Source organism: Homo sapiens, chromosome 17 (genome assembly GCF_000001405.40).
Source record: "Homo sapiens chromosome 17, GRCh38.p14 Primary Assembly".
NCBI lineage: Eukaryota > Metazoa > Chordata > Mammalia > Primates > Hominidae > Homo > Homo sapiens.
The window spans coordinates 13,090,513-13,100,396 of NC_000017.11; the positions used below are offsets into that span (position 1 = coordinate 13,090,513).

The window sequence follows — 9,884 nt, forward strand, 5'->3', positions numbered from 1 at the left end:
CTCAAAAAAAACCCCAAAAAAAACCCAAAAAAAAGTGGGGGGGCTGCAAATTAAACTAACAGAAAAAATTAACAAGAGAAAAGAGACACAGTTTTATGTCCACAAGAGTTCACAGGAAAGAAATGGAACTCAAAATAGTGGTTAGATTTGGGGGCTCATATGCCCTTTCAAGAGGTATATAAGAGGGTTTTGGTATGAAACAGAGCTTGGGCTAAAAAGGATGACACATTGTAGGGAAGTGTCTAGAAAATATATCAGGGACTAAAGGAAGACAAGGGCTATTCTAGTAAGATCCATTTATACCAACTTATCTTGGTGTTAATTCCCTGTCTTGAATAAGAAGAGCCACTCTTCTCTCTCTGGTAAAGGAGGATTACCTTCCTCAAGGGGAGATATGTCCTACTTTTCGCATATAAGGGGAGGGCAGGAAACTCTTTCTGCATCTATTGATTCTTAGTTATCTTCAGGTTAAAATAATTCATATGCCAAAATAACATATTTTGGGGTGGCATATTCAATTCTAATCAGGAAGATGGATAAAAATGTCAAGTAAAACAAATAATTACAAATTTTGGCAAGTCTTGCAAATGAAACAACTACAATATGGGAAATAGGTGGAGAACAAAGCAAGAGACACAGTTTGGATATGGTGGTCTTGGAAGGCCTCCCCGAGAAGGCGACATTTACACTGAGACCTGAAAGAGGAGAAGGAGCATCAGTGATCAATGAGGGAAGAGATCTTTATGCAGAGAAAGCAACATGGGAAAAGGCCTTGAGGTGTGAGAGACTGAAATACAGACTGCACTGGTTGCGGTGGCTCATACCTGTAATCCCAGCACTTTGGGAGGCCGAGGCAGGTGGATCACCTGAGGTCGCGAGTTCGAGACCAGCCTGACCAAAATGGAGAAACCCTGTCTCTACTAAAAATACAAAACTAGTGGGAGTGGTGGCGCATGTCTGTAATCTGAGCTACTCAGGAGGCTGAGGCAGGAGAATCGCTTGAACCCGGGAGGCAGAGGTTGCAGTGAGTCGAGATTGCGCCATTGCGCTTCAGCCTGGGTGACAAGAGCAAAACTCTGTCTCAAAAAGAAAAAAAAGAAATACAGACTAGCCATGGCCAGACCACATAGAAAAATAGAACTCTGATCTACAATCTGCAGCAACCTGCCCAAGAAACCATTTCATTAACCAGCCCAGAAAGCCATGCAACTTTCTGTAAGTCAGATTTATAGGAAGTCAGACCACTCACAATTGTTAACAATCAGAGAAGCCAAGCAAAATCCATATGACAATTGGCTTAAAATGGACAGGAATACATGAGGGGACTAAATGAAGATAAACGGCAGTTTACCTAAGTTTTGTTCCTGTTTCTAAATTAGGACCACTCTGCCGGGCACGGTGGCTCACACCTATAATACCAGCAATTTGGGAGGCCGAGGTGGGTGGATCACTTGAAGTCAGGAGTCTGAGACCAGCCTGGCCAACATGGTGAAACCCTGTCTCTACTAAAAATACAAAAAATTAGCCGGGTGTGGTGGTGCATGCCTGTAATCCCAGCTACTTAGGAGGCTGAGGCAGGAGAATCACTTGAACCCAGGAGGCAGCGGTTGCAGTAAGCCAAGATTGCACCACTGCACTCTAGTCTGGGTGACAGAGTGAGACCCTGTCTTGAGCGATAAATAAATAAATAAATAAATAAATAAATAAATAAATAAGGACCAATCAAAGAAGGCTAAGCATGTTCCCCTAACCAATCATAGGATGCCCCACTTTTAGCCTACCTGCAGCTTCCTTACGCCAACTGCCTCCAATCAGGGCACACGTGAAGCTTTCCCTTTTTCCATTGTAAAACTGTCCCACTCTTCTTCCTGTCTCTGAGTCTCTGTCAAAATACAAGTGATGATGGCTAACTCCCTTCTAGCAAGCTTTAAGCAGCTAGCCTTTGCTTGCTGTCATTTGGTTGGTCTTCATTTATTTCCACAGGTGAAAAGGAGAAATAAGAAATCCAGGCATTGAGAAAGCACAGGGACTGAGCCTAGTGGGCTGTAGAGAGTGGGATGGGATGTGGCTGGACAGAGTGGGGTGGGGTGCAGCTGGAGAGAGTGAATGAGTGGAAGCCAGGTGAGGGAGGGCCATTAGTAGGGGCTAAAAGTTTATTCTAAATGCAATGGGAAGTGCTATGGTCTGAATGTCAATGTTCCCCCTCAAATTCATATGTTGATACTTAATTTCCAATGCAAGAGTAGTGAGAGATAAGGCCTCGGGAAGGTTATGCCCTCATGAATGGAATAAGGGCCCTTATGAAAGAGGCCCATGGAGGCTTGTTTGCCCCTTCTGCTGCGTAAGGGCACGTAGAAGTTGCCATCTAAGAGAAAGTGGTCCCTCACCAGACACCGAATGTGCCGGTGTCTTGATCTTAGACTTCCTAGGCTCCAGAACCATGAGTAGTAAATTTCTGTTGTTTACAAATTACCTAATCTAAGGTGTTTCATTACAGCATCCTGAACAAACTTAAGCCATTGAAGAGTTTTAAGCAGATAATATGCCACTCTGATTTACATTTTAAGATCACTCTTGCTCCGGAGCAAAGATGGAAAGGGTCAAAGATGGAACCAGGAAGATCTGTCTTGGGCCAGGAGGGCAGTGGAGGTCGAGACAGATGGGTAGATTTAAGATAGATTTTTGGTTCAGGCAGAGTGTGGTGTCATTTACAGAGATGGATATGATCGATGGTTGATGGACAATTAGTTATTGATGGGAAAGAGGAGACATTTAATTTTGTGATACATCAAAGTACAGATGACAAGTAAGTAGTCAGATATTAAAGTCTGGAACTCAGAGGACTAATCTGAAATGAAAAATATATTTTGACATTATCAGCACATGGATAATTTTAACCATGAGAATTGATGAAATCTTCTAAGGAAAGAAATGGAAAGGAGATGGGCCCATCCATCTGGTGATTTTACAGAGGAGGAAGAACCAACTAGACTGAGAGGTAGGAGGAAAAGCAAGGATAATATGGGACAAAGAAGCAAAGAGGGACAAGAGTGATTCACTGTCATGAATGTTTCTGAGAGGGCAAGATGAGACAGGGAAAGATCTGTCCATTGCCATTTGCCAAATAGAAGTCATTGTCAACTTTGTCGAGTGGTTTTTGGAGTGACAGAGATGCAAGCTGGATGGAAGGGGGCATAAGAATAGAAGTGAGAAAGTGGAGAAAGCATGGCTAACCCTCTTGCAAGGTCAGCTGAGAAGGAAAGTAGCAAAACATGGCAGAGTGGGAGACCAGAATATGCCTCCCCCAAATATAAAGAATTGTTGAGCTGAAGACAGTTAAGAATAAGCAGATGCAGGAAAGCTCTCTGCCCGCCCTCCATTTGCCTAAAAGCAGGGCATAGATTTGGAAAGACAAAAGGTAACCTGGCCCCTCTCTACCAGGGAGAACAAAGCTTAACCACTGAAGACACCTTTAAATGTTTATCAGCCTGGAGATGGTACCAGAGAAATCTACATTAACAAGCTTCACTGGCTAGCCCTTATCTGCCATTTTTTTTGCTTTTTTGCTGCTAGTAGAGACTCAAAGTCCTTTTTCTTTGTCTTGTCACTTCTCTAAAAATTTACTATTCTTTGAGGGTGCTGTATAGGCTGGAATTCAAAGCCACCTCTTTGAGAACTACTCATTCTCTAGGTGTCTTCCATGTATAAATAAAATGTACACATGCCTAAACTTCTGATTTTTTTTTCTCATTGATCGGTCATTGGTAACCCGGATCAATTCCAACTAAGAACCTCTGGGAGTTATTGTCTTTTCTCTACAGCAGAAGATGGTGGGATTATCTTTTTTTTTTTCTTAAAAGAGGAGCTGCACTAAGCTTCCATGCAGATGGAAATGATCCAAATATTCATGGTATGTTTGCTTTTTTAAAAATGTCTAATTTATTTATATAATTGTAAAGCAATATTCAATATGTTTTGTTTTGCTTTTAGAGGTAATGAAATAAAAAAATTCAGAAAGCTTCAATGATGTCCGTAAGGCCACATGGCGTGGGGAGTCAGTGACTGGATCATGGCATTACCCACGTGGCCTCCAAGAATAAGGTCTTCTTCAACCTGCCCTGCCCCACTTTCCTGATACTGATTAAAACCCGAGAAACCATTATTAAGTGGCCATATGCCAAGAACTTTGCAAAATCAGAGCAGAGTATGATCAGAAAATATTTAAACCCAGAGCAGAAAACATTTAAACCCGCTACAAAGATACGCTTCAGAGAGAAAAAAAAAAGACAAATTGTGAAATTAGCCAAGGAGCAAAAGGATTCCTTAATCCACCAACCAAGTTCACCAACAGTTAAGTGATAACTCCTTCCCCTCCCCTGCATCCTGTATTCCCCAAACAGGGCCTTATGAATGGAGGGTGGGGAATCTTAAACGTTAACTTTTCTGCACTTTTATTTTGGCTTCATTTGTAGATTTCACACTTTCTCTGCTTCCTTCCTCCAGGGTGTTTTTAATTATTGGAGATGAGAGCCAGGTGAGGAAGCAGGGCTTGGGGCTGGGTAGTAGAGGGTTCACCTAAAGGAGGGCTTTGTTGGGGATCCATTGACACCACAGGTTCCTGCAAGCCCTGCCTAGGACAGCAGATCATTTGTGGGTGAATGAGGGAGCACCCCTTGAAGCCTCTGGGCTTCGTTTTCCATGCCTTGTTTTTCCTCAGAAAGTTATCCCCACAACCCCAACCCCAAACAGCACAAGTGAGCAGACTTTTGTTTCAAACTCCTCTAAGAATTCTCAGGAAAGTGTCTCCATTCTCCCACCTGAATTATCACCTTTTTTTCTCAGAAGGTTCTGTGCTGAGGGTAAATTGTCAGGAGGTCTAAGTTAGCCATGGCTGTGTTAGCTTAGCCGTCTTTACTATCCATGGCCACTGTCCTAGCCTCGCCAGGCTTCTCTTGGCAAGTCTGTGGCTTTGAGTCTATGAGTCCACAGCACTGAGCCTGGTTCTACTTCTTACTGGGTCTGTGATCTTGGTGCTTCTGAATCTCTCTAAGACTCAGTTTCCTCAAAAGGAGAGGCACTGTGATAGCTGTACTCGCCTTACAAGTTATATATATATATATTGAGCACCTACTCTGTCAGGCATGCTGTAAACGTGCACTAGAATCCTCATAACAATCCTAAAGGCAGGATTCTAACGTCATCAACAAGGAAAAACATTCTATTTTCTCCAGGGAGGCAATGCTTTTCCTAAAAAGTTGAGAATTTAGACCTGGACTTGGCTGAGCTGTTTTACTGATTTTTGCAAGAGCAAGAGTAAGGTGACCCATGCAGGGAAAATCATCCTAGACTAAACTTCTAAAACCATACGTGTTGCCTATCGGTTATAACCCAGGTGGGGCATCTTTTCTGCTGCGACATGTGTACCCGTCAGCCAACGTGTGATGAGCTCTCACGTTCAGACCTTGGTCTGTCAGCTGTCACCACTCCCTTATCTCATGCTGGAAAGGCACACCAAAATACAGGCGAGTGAAAGCCATATTTATGCGGGGAAAACTTGGGATTTGCCCTAATTTTCAAAAAGAGTGAATTTGAAACTTAGGCATTTAAATTAATTATTGTGTAATATATTACACGTGTTGGATTAGCTTCTCGTTAAAGCTGTGTGTGGTGTTGGAAGGTTCTTCAGTGTTTTAAGCAGGATCTGCAGGAAACAGCACCACGTATAAGACGAGATCTTTCTCTTGCAAGACGAGATCTTTCTCATGCTCTGAGAAAACCGGAAGTTTCTTTGGGCAGGCAGTTAGGATGACTCCAATTGACCTCGGTGTGTATGTAGATCTGGCCCTGTGGGAGTTTATGACATTTAGAGACCTACAAATCTCCTGACATTCTGGGTCCTGAAACTGTTCCCCACAGCACCGTAGATCTGGCGAAAAGCTGTGTTTGTGTCCTGTTTCCTAAGAGAATAACATTTTAAGCCAGTTGTCCAGGAATTCTTTCAAGGCAATCTTCTAAGTACTCATAGAATAAACAACTCTTGCTTTCTGCTTTACTCAAATAATTTGTGTCAAAGAAATTCTCAGTTAAGCATGAAAGGGAGCTTGATTTGAAGTCCAAGCTCTGGCTCCAACAGTTTTTTTTTATATTTAGATTCATCAGCTGCAGATAAAGGGGCTGGATGGCCCCTAAAGTACCTGCCAGCTCTGCCTTTCTAGGATGCCAGTGATTTTGATAACATTTATTGACTGCCCACTGTGTTTCAGGAATTGTTTTGTTGTTTTAAGTGCTATACTATTATTAGCTCATTTACTCCTCTTGGTAATTCTTTGATGAAGGTGGTATTTGTACTTCCATTATACAAGTGAGGAATCAAAGGGAGAAACAGAAACCTCTAAGTTCACTTTGTGAAATGGGATTCTCACCTTTGCAACATGGCTCTGGAGACTTGCTCTTCACAATGACAGTTGCAAGAGAAAAAAATTACCCAATGACACTCGGTAAAGCATGGTAAGTGTATTCGTCCATTTCCATGCTGTGATACAGACATACCTGAGACTTGGTAATTTATAAAGAAAAAGAGGTTTAATGAACTTACAGTTCCACATGGCTGGGGAGGCCTCACAATCATGGTGGAAGTCGAAAGGCATGTCTTAGTTGCCTTATGACGGCAGCCAAGAGAGAATGAGAACCAAGTGAAAGGGGAAATCCCTTATAAAACCATCAGATCTTGTGAGACTTATTCACTACAATGAGAAAAATATGGGGGAATGGGGGAAACCACCCCCACGATTCAATTATCTCTCACCAGGTCCCTCCTACAACACGTGGGGATTATGAGAGCTACAACTCAAGATAAGATTTGGATGGGGACACAGCCAAACCATATCAGTAAGGAAGACTACTCAGGACCATTGTGACAGGCACATGGACCACTTCAACAGGGTCTTGCAGCTGGGGAGAGAGACTGGGCTCAACTTTGAATACAGCATGGGCAAGTGGGAGTTTATAGCCAAAGAACAGGGTGAGGGTCAGTGGGTGGAAAATTACCAACAGAAAACAATACGAGTAAGGGGGATCCTGGCTAAACCCACCTAACAGGATTCTTGCTGAAGACAGGCCAGGGTGACCTGACATCACCTGGTGGGTGGTGGAGGATGGGGAACCTGAACACATATCAAGGATGATTAGATACCCAGGACTGGGTGGTTCTGGCTAAACTGACTTACCAGGGTTCTTTGCTAAAACTGGATTTTACAAGAAAGCGCATAGATGGGCCTAGGAGAAAATTCAGAAGTCCAACTAAAGTTTGGCCAAGCACATAATCTTTGTCACACTGGACTGCCAATTTTTTTTTTTTTTTTTTTTTTTTGAGATGGAATCTTGCTCCGTCACCCAGGTGATCTCGGCTCACTGCAACCTCTGCCTCCCGGGTTTTAAGCAATTCTGTGCCTCAGCCTCTCGATAGCTGGGATTACAGGCATGTGCCACCATGCCTGGTTAATTTTTGTATTTTTAGTAGAGACGAGGTTTCACCATCTTGGGCAGGTTGGTCTTGAACTCCTGACCTCGTGATCCACCCGCCTCAGTCTCCCAAAGTGCTGGGATTACAGGCGTGAGCCACGGTGTCCGGCCTGGACTGCCAATTTTATGAGGCTATAATAGAAATGAGAAGTAAGGCAATGAGTGAATAATAATCATTTATCACTATCAAATCGATAGCCAGTATTTATTTTGCAAAAGGATATGACATTTTGTTTGAAACATAGTCACCTAGTTTACAGACTTGAATTCTGCACATTTTCTTAGCACAGGAATTAATTTCTTAAGAAACAACAACACTAAGGGGCTATTAAAATGCTCTGGTTGGATGTTAATTTGATAATAGATCATTTTGCTTGAAATAGATGGGCTCTTAAGTTAGGCTTAGACAAGGATTCTTTTTCTTTGCTCTTCACATTTAATACTGATTGATCAATGATAGACAGAAAAAGGAAAGTGATATACAAAACACAGAAGTGAGGTACAGAAACAGCCGTATTGGGGCTGGGTGCAGTGCCACATGCCTGTAACCCCAGCACTTTGGGAGGCCGAGGTGGGCAGACCACTTGAGGCCAGGAGTTTGAGACTGGCCTGGGCTACATGGTGAAACCCCATCTCAACTAAAAATACAAAAATTAGCCGGGCATGGTAGTGTGTAGTCCTAGCTACTCGGGAGGCTGAGGCAGAAGAATCATTTGAACCCAGGTGTTTGAGGCTGCAGTGAGTTGAGATCACGCCATTGCACTCTAGCCTGGGAGACAGAGTGAGACCCTGTCTCAAAAAACAAACAACAAACAAACAAACAAACGAAACAGCCAGCTTGGTTATAGCTCAGCATTTGTCTTATTTGAACACAGTTTGAACAGTTGGCTGCCTTTATTGGCCAAAACTCAGTGATTGGCATAAGAGTAAGTTATAGTCTCTGTATACCTCCAGTCAGACTGTAGTTCACTATGCATAGAAAAACCTGTAGGCCAAACTTAAAATAGGTAAGGAGACACCTTTAGGCTAAAGTTAATTTAACAAGTTTATTTACAACCTCTGTGCTACAGGGTTTTTTTGCCTCCAACTGCAGCATTTGAAGTTGTTCCTGGGGGTCCAGGGTGTGCTCGTGAGGAAGGATAGTCCTGGCCCCGTGAGAGGGTCTTCAGGCCTGGGGAGGCATCCATTGTGCTGCTTCTTTCTTGCGCTCTGTTGCTTCCTCAGCTAGGCGCTGCATCCTGCCCTCCCCTGGACACTGCAGCTATTCACACACCAGGGCTCTGGAGGGACTCGGGCCCCAGAGTGGGGAGAATCCTCCTCTTCCTCTCTGATACCCTCTCTTTATTAGGTGACAGAATGGTGTTTCCTCCGCTAGAGTGCTGGGAGCTTTCAGTCCTAACAGAACTTGATTTTAGTCTCTTTGAAAAGCAAGTATGAGTCCAGTCCGGGGAGGCTGGCCTGGAAACAATGGCTTGCTGTACACACCATCATTTTTCTCCTCTGATTGGGAAACCCTTGTTACGGGTCACACTGCCTCCCTGACACTTTTCTTTTCCACTGAGTTCTGCCTGGACCCTCAGGCTTTCCGAATATAGATTTCTGGCCAACAGCCCCCAAATTGTGTTAGGCATGCTTGAACATGCCTGAACGTGGAGTAGAAACAGCTTAGGTCCAGGCTGGGGATAACAGAGCAACCCACATAAGGCTTATTTCCTTAAAAAAATAGATTGATTTGTTTAAAATTCAATTTCCTGTTAAAGGAATTCCCAAGTCCAGTATCCACTGCTCTTCTCTGCAAAATTTTAAAGAAATTATTACTTAAAAATAATTTGTCTAAAGAGACTCTTGACTACAGTTAATATTTTTAACAAATATTTTTGGTTTCTTTAGAAAAGAGGGTTTTTTTCTTTTCTTCTTGTTTTTTGGTGGAGCGGGGACAGTCTGGTGATAAGTATCAGCTGCCTGAGCTCTGTTTACGGGGTGCGGTGGTACCAGCAGATCTGCTAAACACAGGCTTTCAATGAACCCGTTCATTTTAGGCAGCCACGCTTCCCCTCCGTGAGTTACATTGTGCAGATGGTCCCCGGTCTTCTCTCTAACTCCCTCCTGTGCTCCAAGCTGCTGCATTCAGCCGCCTGTTGCTCTGCCCATCCCACCTGCCAACACTCAGGCATCCCTTCTATGTCTTCTGGAAATTTGTTGAAATTAGTGATTTCCCCCCTTCCTGTTCTTTTAATTGCTCAAGGATAATATTTTTATAACGTCTCATTTTTATTTCAGAGAACTTTCAGAAAGGCACCATCGGTCTTGAGCTGGAAGCCCGCCTTTTAGGTTTTGAAGAGAGAAGAGGTGGAGGAGGATGT

At 43.3% G+C, this 9,884-nt stretch overlaps 1 annotated feature.

The window, feature by feature from the left end:
• Positions 5,454-6,653: an enhancer, noted in NCBI's record as "BRD4-independent group 4 enhancer chr17:12999283-13000482 (GRCh37/hg19 assembly coordinates)". NCBI's record gives its function as "activates an origin of replication core promoter dependent on BRD2, P300/CBP, MED14 and CDK7 cofactors, and independent of BRD4, by STARR-seq in HCT116 cells {active_cell/tissue: HCT116}" and the evidence as "EXISTENCE:reporter gene assay evidence [ECO:0000049][PMID:35650434]".